The following is a 14,220-nucleotide window of genomic DNA, read 5'->3' as shown; positions in this document are numbered from 1 at the left end:
ACTTTTCATGAAAATGGTTACAGTACAGAAGTCAAAACTGTATTTTACTCATGCTCTTCATGATCTTGACAAAACAGACCTCATTGAGAAAAAAAATTTTTTTTTTTTTTTTGCCCAAACTTACTTTTAGAAGGAGCTGGGTGTTGGAAGCTCCTTTCTGCAGCAAATGATCTTCTGGCTTGCCTTCCTTGCTCTGATCTGTTGTGACTTTTTCTAAAACTGGTTCCTCTTTCTTACTGTGTGCTCTTCCCAAATTTGGCTTAGCCTTTTGGAATTTCCTTCTTGTCATTTGTGCTGAACTAGGAACATACGGTTTATTTTCATGTCTAGAATGAAGTATGAATCATGTTGAAGAACAAAAATCAGAATTTCTTGTTGATATAACAGCTGTTACATCAAACAATTTTGGATACAAATCAATTCTATGTTCAAAGGACTATATATAAATTGGCAATAAAATCAAGCATGTAAAATGAAACCACACATTGCTGATATGAAAAGAACTTATAAAGCATTTATAGCTTCCATTTTCTATAGAGCCTGAAAAAGTTTTACAATAATATTAATCTTTTTAAACTTTCATTTATTCATTCTATTATATGATTTCATGCTACTTTAATTTTCAGAGAAATCACAGGATACCAAAAAAAAAAAGGCAAGTAGCTGAAGATGGATTTCATAATGGCACTTTAAACACATGCCTTCAACTGGGCCCCCAAAGCATGAACAAATATATGACAGTTATAACCAACTCGATACTTCTAGTTCTAAAGTAGACTTGAAGGGTAGAGTCTATTCTCCTAACAGATGCCTGAACTCTCACTAAAAAGGGTTTACTGACAACCAATGTCATAAGGTTCTCAATATAATCCGTCTGTATCTGCCAAATAACAAAAAGACGTTTTAGCATTCAAGAGAGTAGCCAGAGCTCCCAAGGTAACCTGAATAGCTATCTAATGGTTTCCTGGACAATATTTTAGCAACTGGCAAAGATCTGAATTAGGAAGCTTAAAAACTAATAGAGACCAGGCACGGTGGCTCACGCCTGTAATCCCAGCACTTTGGGACGCCGAGGTGGGCGGATCACCTGAGGTCGGGAGTTTGAGACCAGCCTAACCAACATGGAAAAACCCCATCTCTACCAAAAATAAAAAATTAGCTGGGCATGGTCGTGCATGCCTGAAGTCCCAGCTACTCGGGAGGCTGAGGCAAGAGAATCACTTGAACCTGGGAGGTGGAGGTTACAGTGAGGCGAAGTTGCACCACTGCACTCCAGCCTGGGCAACAAGAGCAAAACTCTGTCTCCAAAAAAAAAAAAAAAAACTAATATAAACCTGAATATTTATAAAGAATAACTGGATATATAAGTACCTATCTTGAGTTCTCTGAAAGATCTGCATTAAAAACTAATCTTTTTTTTTTTTTTTGAGACGGAGTTTCGCTCTTGTCACCCAGGCTGGAGTGCAATGGTGCGATCTCGGCTCACTGTAACCTCCGCCTCCAGGTTCAAGCGATTCTCCTGCCTCAGTCTCTCAAGTAGCTGGGATTACAGGCATGCGCCACCACGGCTGGCTAATTTTGTATTTTTAGTAGAGATGGGGTTTCTCTATGTTGGTCAGGCTGGTCTCAAACTCCCGAACTCAGGTGATTCGCCCGCCTTGGTTTCCCAGAGCGCTGGGATTACAGGTGTGAGCCACCATGCCCGGCCTTCAATGCACCCTTTCAATGAAGCTTTCTCTGGTCACTGCTGATTAAAAAGTGAATCCCCAGTCACAACACTCCCTACTCAAAACTTTATTTTTCTCTACTGATTTATCACTTATTTATTCAACTTATTTCTCATTTATAATCTGTTTCTCAATTAGAATATAAACTCCACAGTGACAGCATTTTTTTCTTCATTTATTCCTACATCATCAGCACTTAGAACAATGCCTGGCACACAGCAGACACTAAAATGTTTGTGGAATAAATGAGTATATAAGGTTATTTTCAGTGGTAAAATTCTATAATTCTTTGAGATCAAAAAGGGATTATACATAGAAAATAATCCCATAATTAGTAATTAGGAGAAGTGAATGATGTAAACAAATTCATCTGTAATGTTTCCTAGACATTATCAGAGTTAAATTGCTCTGAGATCAATCATCAACCTAATCCAATATAGCATTTGTAATATAAGTCTAATGCATTTTAGTAAAAAACATTTCAATAAAATATCCAGTTTTAAAAACTGAAAAAATGGCTAAGGGAACCTAAAATTAATGTGAAGTAAAAATTGGCCTTAATCTTAAAATAAAAGCAATATGGAAAGACTTTTCAATGCATAGCACAGGGAACAATCAACAAAGTGAAGAGACAACCTACAGAATGGGAGAAAAAATTCCCAACTATCCATCTCACAAAAGTTAATAACCAGAATATATAAGGAACAAAAACAACTCAATAGCAAAAAAACAAATAATCTGATTAAAGAATAGGCAAAAGAGAACAGACAGTTCTCAAAAGACATACAAATGGCCAACAGGTGTCTGACAAAATGTTCAACATCATTAATCATCACGGAAACGCAAATCAAAACTGCACTGAGATATCCTACTGCCGTTAAAATGGCTACTGTTAAAAAGACAAAAAATTACAAATACTGGTCAGGATGTGGAGAAATGGGAAAACTCATAGGCTGTTCGTGGGAATATAAAGTAGGAATGCCATTATGGAAAAAAGTATGAAAGTTCCTCAAAAAACTAAAAATAGAACTACCATTTGATTGAGCCATCCTACTGCCAGGTGTATGTCCAAAAGAAAGGAAATCACTGTATCAAAGAGATATCTGAACTCTCATGTTTACTGCAGTGGTATTCACAATAGCCAACACATAATATCAACCTAAGTGTCCAGCAACAAATGAATAAAGAAAGTGAGAAAGTGTGGTATATATACACAATGGAATATTATTTAACCATAAAAAAGAATGAAATCCTGTCATTCACAGTGACATAGATGGAACTAGAGGTCATTATGTTAGGTGAAATAAGCCAGGCACAGAAAGACAAATATTGCTGGTTCTCACTCATATGTAGCAGCTTAAAAAGTGGATCTCATGGAGGTAGGGATTAGAATGGTGCTCACCAGAGGCTAGGAAGGCAAGAGGGAAGGGAGTAATGAGAAGCTGGTTAGTGTGTATAAAAATACAGTTAGATAGAAGGAATAAGTTCTGGTATTCAGTAGTACAGTAGGAAAAATTATAGTTAACAATCATTTATTGTATTATTTCAAAATAGCTAGAAAATTATGTTGCCAATATAAAGATAAAAGTATGAAGTGATGGATATCCCAGTTACTCTGATCTGGTAATTATATATTGTGTATAATGTATCAAAATATCACATGTAGTCCAAAAATATGTATAACTATTATATATCAAAAAAAAATTTAAGGCTTTTTAAGACAAAAAGCAGGGGGAGGGGCTGTAATATTGAAAACAAAAGTAATCCAGGTTGGGCGCAGTGGCTCATGCCTGTAATCCCAGCACTTTGGGAGGCTGAGGTGGGTGGATCACCTGAGGTCAGGAGTTCGAGACCAGGTTGGCCAACATGGTGAAACCCCATCTCTACTAAAAATACAAAAATTAGTAGGGTGTGGTGGTGGGTGCCTGCAATCCCAACTACTCGGGAGGCTGAAGCACAAGAATCACTTGAATCCAGGAGGCGAAGGTTGCAATGAGCCACGATCAAGCCACTGCACTCTGAGACTCTGTCTCCAAAAAAAAAAAAAAAAAAGTAATCCATACTAAAATAAAAACTTCACATTAGAAACTCGTCTAAATGAAAGCAAACTGCTTCAAGCATCTAAAATTAACAGAGGTCGGGCACGGTGGCTCACCATGTAATCCCAAGATTTTGGGAGGCCGAGATGGGCGGTTCACTTGAGCTCAGGAGTTCAGGACCAGCCTGGGCAACATGGTGAAACCCCATCTCTACAAAAAGATACAAAAATATTAGCCAGGCATGATGGTGTGCACCTGTGGTCCCAGCTACTCGAGAGGTTGAGGTGGGAGAATTGCTTGAGCCCAGGAAGTTGAGGCTGCAGTGAGCTGTGACTGCGCCACTGCACTCCATCCTGGGCGACACAGTGAGACACCTTGTCTCAAAAAGTAAATATAATAAAAAGAAAATATAAATCAATAGCACCTGTTTTGACAGATGACCTAACATGCCCAAATTCTAGCTTCACCTAACTAGAGAGGGTTAAAAAAGGATACAATAACATCTCCTCTGCATTTCCCAGAAAGCCAAAGTCACTCTACCTAATTAAAGGAAGCTGAAATATTTAAAGTATATTCATAAGTGCTGAAAACATCCTGGAGGAAAATTAATAAATACTTCACTAAAACATGTTCTAGTTACTAAGACAGTAAGTTAGATGGACCAAGAACTATATACAGAAAGGAAAGGCGTTTTTACTAAAGAAAAGAACACATCTTGCTTTAATAATAAGAAGGCAGATAGCAAGTAATAAATAAAAGTGGTAATGTTAAAACTTCTTCACCCTACTAGCTCATCTCAATTAAAAGATATCATTCTTACCATTTGGCTTCGATGTAGTTACCTCTAAATATAGTATACTGTTAAGTATACTTTATAGCACTACCTATTAATGAATTTTAGTCAGTAGGTTATAAACTTCTTTTCTTTTTTTTATTTGTTATTTTTATAGAGACGAGGTCTCACTATGTTGCCCAGGCTGGTCTTGAACTCCTGGACTCAAGCGATCCTCTCGTCTTGGCTTCCCAAAGTGCTGGGAGATTACAGGCGTGAACCACTGCGCCTGGCCTAAATTTCTAAAAAAGATACAGAGAACTTAAGAATCTTTGTCTACTATTAAAAATTTAGTTTTGGTACCAAAAAGTAGGATGCTTGTCAAACTTTTCAGAGAAATTACATATACTTAAGGGAATATCATATACTTAAGAGAATATCAGCCATGCAATTCATACAGTATTCGAGAAGCAGATTTAAAAGACTCTAGTATCACAAGTATTTATTACTTTATCCTTTTAACATTTTCAGGATGTGAAGTTATTAATATATAAAGTCAACTATGCAAAAATATAACTTTTATCTTTGAAAAGTCTTATTTTTTCTCATTAAAAGCAAACTCACCTGATTGTTTCATTTGTTTTGTTAACATGAAGGTTTTCTACAAGAACCACCTGACTTTGATTTTCATACATTCTGTGTTCTGGAACTGCGGACGATGGAACTTCAATTTCAGTTTCAATTTGAGAATTTGACTGAAAAGACAAAATCATATTAGTATGTTATTTTTATAGCAGAATATACCTCTTAAAATATTTCCACCATTAAGATATTTAGTTTTTTAAAATCCCTTTTCTTTTTTAAATTTTTATTTATGCATTTTGAGATAGTCTCATCATACTGCCCAGGCTAGTCTCAAAGTCCTAGGCTCAAACGATCCTCCTTCCTCAGCCTCCTGAGTAACTGGGATTACAGGCAGATACCACCATGGGTGGTTAATTCTTTAAAATTAGATTCAAACTGGATATGTAATGTTCACATTCTGTTGCCAAAAACAAGGATGCCTAGTTCAGAGAAAAGTTTCAAAGATTATTGCAGTAATATGTTTACATAATACTTTGAAAACTATAATAGTCACCTGCTATGAAATTAAAAATAAACAAAGTTTAATTTTTTTTTTTAAGAAAGAGCTTTTTGGTTCAAATAAAGATTATTTTAAATCTAGACTTTGCATTGTTTAACAGAAAAATAAGAACTACCTAAAATGAACATTTTTAGACATTACACTACTTAGACTTTTTCCCTAATACCAAAAGACCCATTAATAAGAGATTAAACTGTTACTCAAAACAGCATGTTATACAGCAAAAATGATGTAACTAACATATTTCTTGATCCAGAAAGCCACTTAACATAGTATTCAGTGAATAACAGAAAGTTATAGTACGTAATGACTTTATTGTTTAAATTTGCATAAGTGTGCACATAATGTGTGCATGGAAATAAATCCAGTAAGATATGTCAAAAGGTTTTCAGTGGTTATCTCAGAGTAAGATTTGCGGTATTTATATTATTTTGTCCTAATGGAACATTTTACGATGAATAGCTTCATTAATTAGAAAAGAAATAAATCTATTTTCACTTAAAAAAAAAATCCAGAAGAGCAAATCTGAAACAAAACTGGAAACTGTATTCATTGAGTAGAATAAGTGTCAGATGCCTGTATTTCTAAGCTATGTCTGAGCTATAACTTGACATTTTAAATGCATTAAAAGGCTAAATTTAATTACATAACAATAACTCACCACAGTTAAGACTTTCTTTTCAGTTTCATCTTTTGGTAATATCGTTCTTCCTTCCTTAATTATGCCTTTGGCTTCACCTTTGTCTACTATTTGCCTCTGTCCTGTCTTTCTTATATTTGGTCTCGGTCTCTGAAGTCGGCCCCTTACTTGTCGAGCAGTTTGGATAACACTTTCCTTCATTTCTTGCTGGAAAGTGTTTACATTATTAGTCCTAAACAAGGGGACAGGGAGAAAGGCAGGGCGCTTGACTGTAAAAAGCTGAAAACTAATGTAAAAATGTAAAATTTGGATCTCCTCTAATAAACACTCTAAAAAATACTTTGTACCATTAAAGGGAAATTGCTTTCTGATTATAAACATCTTATTTTACAAAAGAAAACAGTTATGTCAATTCTTAAAAGGTAATAAACTTATATAATATGCCTAAAGTAGCTAAATATACAGATAGAATGGTGGTTGCCAGGAGCTGGAAGAGGAGGAGAATGAGTTAGTATTTAATGGGTAGAGAGTTTCATTTTATGAAGATGAAAAAGAAAGTCTAGAGATGAATGGTGGTGGCAACGGGACAACAATGTGAATACACTTAATGCCACTGTATATTAAAAAATAGTTAAAATGGTAAATTTTATCTTATGTGTATACTAATTTTTAAAAGTTAATGAATATATATAGCTTATATACATATAAGCTGAGTAGCCCTATCCAAAATGCTTAGGACCAGAAATGTTTCAGATTTCAGATTTTTTTAGATTTGGAAATATTTGCATTATACTTATCAGTTGAGCATCCCTACTTTGAAAATCCAAAATGCTCCACTGAGCATTTCTTGAGCATCATGTCAGCTCTCAAAAAGTTTTAAATTGTGGCACATTTCAGAATTTTTTATTAGGGATGCTCAACTTGTAGTTTTTAAATGCATTGCTTTGTATACACTCTTACGCAGCTGACAATGCAGATAAGCAGGCAACCATTAGAAGGTGTTGAATTCAATCTGATATTATATTTTAGGCAGTCTGCTGTATCAATAAAATTAAACCAATATTCTTTATGTTCACTTTTTAAATGCATTAACATATCTCAATAAAAATTAGAAATATTTAAAAGAAGTATCTCTCTTATTTTATATTGTCAAAGAAAATCACTGTTTACCCCACAGAAACAACTGAGTCATTTTTCTGGACTGGTGCTGACTGAGACTCCTCTTTAGGTTCACAAGAATTTGAAGGTGAAAGGTTCCTTTCAGTCTGTGTACATGGCAATATCACAGCCTCCTCATTCCTGTGACCTAATGTGTCTTTTTCTCTTGATATCATTAGGGAAGCTTCATCCTAGAAGACAGAAAAAAAATTTCATTCACAGTTGCTAAAAGTATAAGGAAATAAGAACTTTACAAGTATAAACTGATATCATCTTCGTGAAGAATAATAGGGTAGTCTATACCAAAATTCTAAATTCCCAGCAATTCCACTTCTAGAAATGTATCTTATAAATACTCAACAAGTAGAAATATACACACAAAAATATTTATTGTAACAATTTAAGCACCACCTCCCTCACCGGAAAAGACAAACAAAAAAATCAGAAATAAAACAGATATATCATTAGGGGATGGAATAAATAAATTTTAATTTCTTTACAATGCAATAGTACCTAATCATTTAAAAGAAGATATATCTCTTTGTACTGATCTAAAAAGAAGCTCACAATACTGTAAGTGGAAAAATCAGAAAGCAAGAATTAATGTCATTTTGGAAAACAATAAAAATACCTTCCCATTTTATCATTTTATAACTGTAAGACGAAAAAGTGTAAGTGGATATATTCAAAATTGCTGTATGATTAACTTGGGGGAAAGGGACGTGACATTATAAAAGACTCTCACTTTTTAGAATACATATATTTTTCCAAATTAAAATTTCTATAATCAGAAAGTATAATACAAATGTAACTTATCTTTTATGAATATAAGCTTAGGAGAAATAGTACAAATGTTGATGCACAGTAAAGTACTGAGCTATTTTAAGACATCAAATAAGAATTTTAATTCTAAGAAGGACTTCCACTGAATGTGGAAAACATTCAGTTTATAATTATTCATTTCGTTTCAATGTTTTTTTGATGGTATGTCACACAATCTTAATCTGTTATGGACCAAGTTAATAAAGTAAATAAAATATCACCTTTAACTCAAATCAAGCTTTTAACTCTTCATTTCACCTTCACAAGAGAGTGAAATAAAAAACGATTATTCTCGCTGGGCGCCACGGCTCAGCGTAATCCCAGCACTTTGGGAGGCCAAAGCAGGCAGATCACGAGGTTAGGAGTTCGAGATCAGCCTGGCTAACATAGTGAAACCCCATCTCTACTAAAAATACAAAAAAAAAAATTAGCCGGACATGGCAGCACGCGCCTGTAGTCCCAGCATTCAGGAGGCTGAGGCAGGAGAATCGCTTGAACCTGGGAGGTGGAAGTTGCAGTGAGCCGAGATCGCGCCACTGCACTCCAGCCTGGGAACAGAGTGAGACTTCATCTCAAAAAAATAAAAATAAAAAAAATAAAAAACTATTATTGTCATTTTTTCTATGAAGAAAATTGTTTAATCAATGGTCACATAGCTGGAACTGGAACCAGAGCCCAGACCTGAACGCTTTCCCACAACACGTTTGCCCATTATCAGATATCTGAGATTCTTACACAAATTATGTGGAACAATGAGGCACATTAAGCATGGGAGCAATATCACATGCAGCAAAAATTACACAGAAATATTTGTAGAATTTTAATGCCAGGTGCTTTTAGTAGTCCTAATAACTTAAAAAAAAAAAAAAACACCCACACAGAACTTCCATCTCAAATACACTCACATGTTGAGAAGGGAGAGTATCAGTTTGTTCATTATTTTCTTGCATCACAATAGTCTCCATTTTCTTGGTTTCTGATTTCTTCTCATATATATATTTTTCTGATTCTGTAGTCTCTCTCTTCAAAGCTGCTCTTGCTAAGTTTGGTTTTGGTCTTTTGAATCGGCTCCTCACAAAAGGTGCTGGTTTAATTTCAAGTGGCTTCTGTTCTTGAGGAAGAGATTTGCTTTTGGAACAAGGATTATCAAGCTTTAGAATGAACTGAAGGGGCAGTGGAAACGGAGTCTCAGTACAACCTTAGAGACTGGCGGTAAACATTTAATTTTTTTTTTTTTTTTTTTTTTTTTGGAGACAGGGTCTTGTTCTATCCCCCAGGCTGGAGTGCAATGACACAATCATAGCTCACTGCAGCCTTGACCTCCGCGGGCTCAAGTGATCTTCCCATCTGAGCCTCCCAAGTAGCTGGGACTACAGGCATGTGCCACCACACCCAGCTAGTTTTTGTTTTTTTATTTTATAGAGATGGGGTTTCTACAGCGTGTTGCCCAGGCTGGTCTCAAACTCCTAGGCTCAAAGGATCCACCCACCTCAGCCTCCCAAATTGCTAGGATTACAGGTGTGAGCCACCATACTTGGCCTAATTCTAATTCTTAACAGGAAAACAAATCGAACTATCTGGCAGATCCTGAAAACCATGAGTGGTACAATCCAGGTATGAGCCTAGGAATTACACCATCTCTGCACAAAGAAAATATGAGTCTATCAAACCTGTATTGATTTAAGACTGTTACATACAATTTTGTATGTCAGTAACTTTCACAATTGACTGTCAGAGTGACCTCAATCCTCTCTCCCAGTCTTCCCAAAACTATCTTAAAAGCTCTAACACTATCCTGTATATGTTATATCTTGAAACCTCACTTAGTTTAACGTAATCTGCAACTATAACTTAATATCTTTTTCTTTAAAAACACACTTGTACCTTAAATTAATATCTGAAAACTGCTCTGGAACATCTGGAGATTGAATCCCCTGGACTTCTGTTTTATCAGATTCATGAGTCTGTGAAGAAATCTTGAAATGACTGAAGTGACTTGATACTTCTTTTTCAGAATTTCTTTTTTCTTCTACAGGTGTATGCATCATCGACAGTACTTCACTGCTAATGTTCTAGAGGAACAGTCATAGTAAATCAGCACAAATAAAAGAGTATTTAAACATCTTATATATTTAAAACAAAAGTCTACTAAATTCTAAACACTTTCCTTTAAAACTTTAGAAGTTTTTAATTTTTGAATAAAATTTAATTTCCAAATGTTAAAACTTGGAATTCAGGAAACCCTTTTATGTTGCATATTATTACTTTCCCAAACCACAAATGTCATTATCTATTTTTAAAAGTTAGAAAAAAAAAAAAGTCCTTGAAAATGTTAGAAGATCATGAACTTCAAAGTAACTTGAAAAAACAAAAAGAACTTTTAGAAGTGAAGTAAGTCAGGTGGGGCAAGAAACAAAAGCAGATACAGATGTGGCCAAAAGAAATAATGTGTGTTCACGCTAGGGTTAGTACAAATTCAGTCTAATTTCCTATTCTTCTTTTACCTAAAAGAGTAACTTCAAATGATATTAAGAACAGTGACATTTTTGAGATCTCAAACCTAAGCCAAAAGAAAAGTTTGATCCTTGCCCATCTGACTTAAAGAAAAAAAATAATAATAATAACAGTGACTTTTTCACAGTTGGAAATTATTTTTATTTCTTTTTGAGACAGGGTCTCACTCTGTCACCCAGGGTGGAGTACAATGGCACAATCACAGCTCACTGCAGCCTCAACCTCCAGGGTTCAAGTGATCCTCTCACCTCAGCCTCCCAAGTAGCTGGGACTACAGGCTTACACCTTGTTATTGTATTTTATTTTTTATTTATTTTATTTATTTTTATTTTATCTTATTTTTTGTAGAGACAAGGTCTCTCTATGTTGCCCAGGCTGGTCTCAAACTCCTGGGCTCAAGTAATCCTTCCACCTTGGCCTCCCAAAGTGTTGGGTTTAAAGGTGTGCCCAGCCTAAAGTTATCTTTTTAAAAAAGAACATACAGTTTCTTCAAGGCACTGAAACATAGAAACTTAGGGCTACAAAAGACTTTAGACTTTTAGAGATTTTTAAGTGTTGTTGGACTTAAGGACAAAATAATCATGGAATTATTTATTTCCTCTGAAAAAAGCATTCAAAAAACTTTTAAAGGACAGAAAAATACATACCTGAATATCTAGTGAAGGCACAGCACTGAAGTCATTGCTACCGCTCTGCATTAAATGTGTGTCAGTTTGTCTTGAGGTACTGGTCTCCTCTAGCTCGTTTTCCCTTGGAGAAATGTCTGTTTTTCCAGTTTGTTTCAATTCTGCCACCTTTTCCTCAGTAACACAGATCTCTTCAGATCCTCTCTCTCTAAAATTTTCTTTTCCAGTTTCTTTCAAATCTGCCTCCATTTCTTCAACAACAGCCATCTTTCCTGATACTTTCTCCATGATGGGAATGTCTCTTTTTCCAGTTTCTTTCAAATCAATCTCCTTTTCCCTTATAGCACTGAACTCTGCTAGCACCTTTTCCCTTTGGGAAATTTCTTCTCTAATTTCTTTCAAATCTGTCTCCATTTTACCTACAGGCTTGACCTCCTCTGGGCCATTTTCCTGTGGCGATATTTCTCTTTCAGTTTCTTCCAAATCTGTCTCTATTACCTCAGCAGCATCAATCACCTCTCGTGTCTTCTCCCTTGAGGAACCCTCTCTTCCAGTTGTTTTCAAGTCTGTCTCCATTTCATCTACAGGCTTGACCTCCTCTGGGCCATTTTCCTCTGGGGATATTTCTCTTCTTCCAGTTTCTTCCAGATCTTTGTCTATTTCCTCAGTGGCATCAATCACCTCTGGTGTCTTCTCCCTTGGGGAAATCTCCCTTCCGGTTGCTTTCAAATCTGTTTGCATTTCACCTAGAGGCTTAACCTCCTCTAGGCCATTTTCCTGTGGGGATATTTCTCTTTCAGTTTCTTCCAAATCTATCTCTATTTCCTCAATGGCATCAATCACCTCTGGTGTCTTCCCCCTTGGGAAACTGTCTCTTCCAGTTGCTTTCAAATCCGTCTCCATTTCACCTAGAGGCTTGACCTCCTCTAGTCCATTTTCCTGTGGGGATACTTCTCTTTCAGTTTCTTCCAAATCTATTTCCTCAGTAGCATCAATCACCTCTGGTGTCTTCTCCCTTGGAGAACTCTCTCTTCCAGTTGCGTTCAAATCTGTCTCCATTTCATCTACAGGCTTGACCTCCTCTGGGCCATTTTCCCTTGGGGATATTTTTCTTCTTCCAGTTTCTTCCAAATTTTTGTCTATTTCCTCAGTGGCATCAGTCACCTCTGGTGTCTTCTCCCTTGGGGAACTCTCATTTCCAGTTGCTTTCAAATCTGTCTCCACTTCACCTAGAGGCTTAACCTCCTCTGGGCCATTTTTCTGTGGGGATATTTCTCTTCTTCCAGCTTCTTCCAAATCTTTGTCTATTTCCTCAGTGGCATCAATCACCTCTGGCGTCTTCTCCCTTAGACAAATCTCTCTTCCCATTGCTTTCAGACCTGTCTCCATTTCTATGGTGTCATCAATCACATCTAGAATCTTCTCCCTGGGAGAAATGGCTCTTCTTCCAGTTTCTTTTAAATCTGACTGCATTTCTTTAGTATTAATCTCTGCTGGTACCATCTCCTTTGGTGAGGTGTCTAGTCTTACAGTTTCTCTCAATGCTGCCGCCATTTCCCCAGAGACAAGAATCTTCTCTAGTACCTCTTCCTTTGAGGAAATTTCTCTCCTTCCAGTTCCTCTTCCTATATTTGGCTTTGGTTTCTGAAATCGAGTCCTTAGAATTGGGACTTGGTTAAGTTTATTTGCCTTATTATTCTCTTGAACGCTATAAAAAAAAAAGGGGGCACACAATCAAGTTTTAAACCAGACTGCCTGCTGAAGAGATGATGTTTGAGAAATCACTACAGAAACACCAGAAACTCTCAAATTCAAAAAAATTAAGGAAGGCCTAGGAATCGCTGGGTAAAATTTAAAAATTAAAAGAAAAAAAATCCCACCTTTTGAAATCACAGCAATAAGTTTAAATATATATATATATCTAGTAAGGTCAATCAGTATAGAAGCTATTTGATCCTAACAGTGTCTTTCCAATTGTCATTCACACTACCATTTATAAATACTGACTGGGAAAGACTCTCCAGTTCTCTGCATTGGAGCTAGATTGATGTATGTCTGCTATTTCTACCTCTTCATCCCTTCTATCTTTTATACAGACAAATGGTTTGCCATAATAGACCTGACCACCTCAAATACCTGGATACAAGTATGACTTGACCAAGATTAAATCTTAGGACTACAAATGAGGTCTGCCCTCCTCACCTTTTAAAACCAATTTTATATGAGATTTCCTATACAGATAGTTCTCTAAAGGCTTGTTATTTCATAACATAAGTAAAGAATCAAAGGACAGACCAAATACACAATAATACTTTGCTGAATGCTACTGGGCACACAACCACTATCCAAAGCAAGCACCTTGCTCTCCAGAAAAGCAGCAGCACTTTTTGTTTTGCTTTCTGTTTATTATAATAGATGGTAAAATCAATAAACATATAAATGAATGAAAGGGCTTTTAAATGACTGGTTAGGAAAAGTTATTAATATTGGGCAAAAGCTAGATCAAATGAAACACTAGATTGTATTCGGCCATGTCGGACTGAACAGGTATATAACTATACATTCAACAGCTTAAAAAAAGACGTATTGAGCTGGGCATGATGCTTCATGCCTGTACTCCTAGCACTTCAGGAGGCTGAAGCAGATGGCTTGAGCCCATGAGTTTTTGGTAGAAATCCCATCTCTACAAAAAAAAAAAAAATTAGTCAAGTGAGGTGGCGTGCACCTGTAGTCCCAGCTATTCAGGAGGCTGAGGTGGGAGGATCACCTGAGCCCAGG

At 36.0% G+C, this 14,220-nt stretch overlaps 1 protein-coding gene across 9 annotated transcripts in view; it reads right to left on the bottom strand.

The window, feature by feature from the left end:
- Window positions 1-14,220, bottom strand: part of BDP1 (BDP1 general transcription factor IIIB subunit) — a 122,638-nt gene that overhangs the window by 55,674 nt on the left and 52,744 nt on the right. For all 9 annotated transcript variants that reach the window (XM_017009630.2, XM_047417372.1, XM_017009631.2 and 6 more), the window contains exons 17-23: window positions 11,464-13,150; window positions 10,187-10,374; window positions 9,208-9,430; window positions 7,493-7,671; window positions 6,344-6,554; window positions 5,163-5,293; window positions 125-326 (exon numbers count right to left, since the gene is read on the bottom strand). In XM_017009630.2, the coding sequence (XP_016865119.1) occupies window positions 125-326; window positions 5,163-5,293; window positions 6,344-6,554; window positions 7,493-7,671; window positions 9,208-9,430; window positions 10,187-10,374; window positions 11,464-13,150 (2,821 nt within the window). The remainder of the gene's footprint in view (window positions 1-124; window positions 327-5,162; window positions 5,294-6,343; window positions 6,555-7,492; window positions 7,672-9,207; window positions 9,431-10,186; window positions 10,375-11,463; window positions 13,151-14,220) is intronic.

Source organism: Homo sapiens, chromosome 5 (genome assembly GCF_000001405.40).
Source record: "Homo sapiens chromosome 5, GRCh38.p14 Primary Assembly".
NCBI lineage: Eukaryota > Metazoa > Chordata > Mammalia > Primates > Hominidae > Homo > Homo sapiens.
The sequence above is the reverse complement of the archived record's forward strand: the minus strand, read 5'-3'. Positions and strand labels throughout refer to the sequence as shown.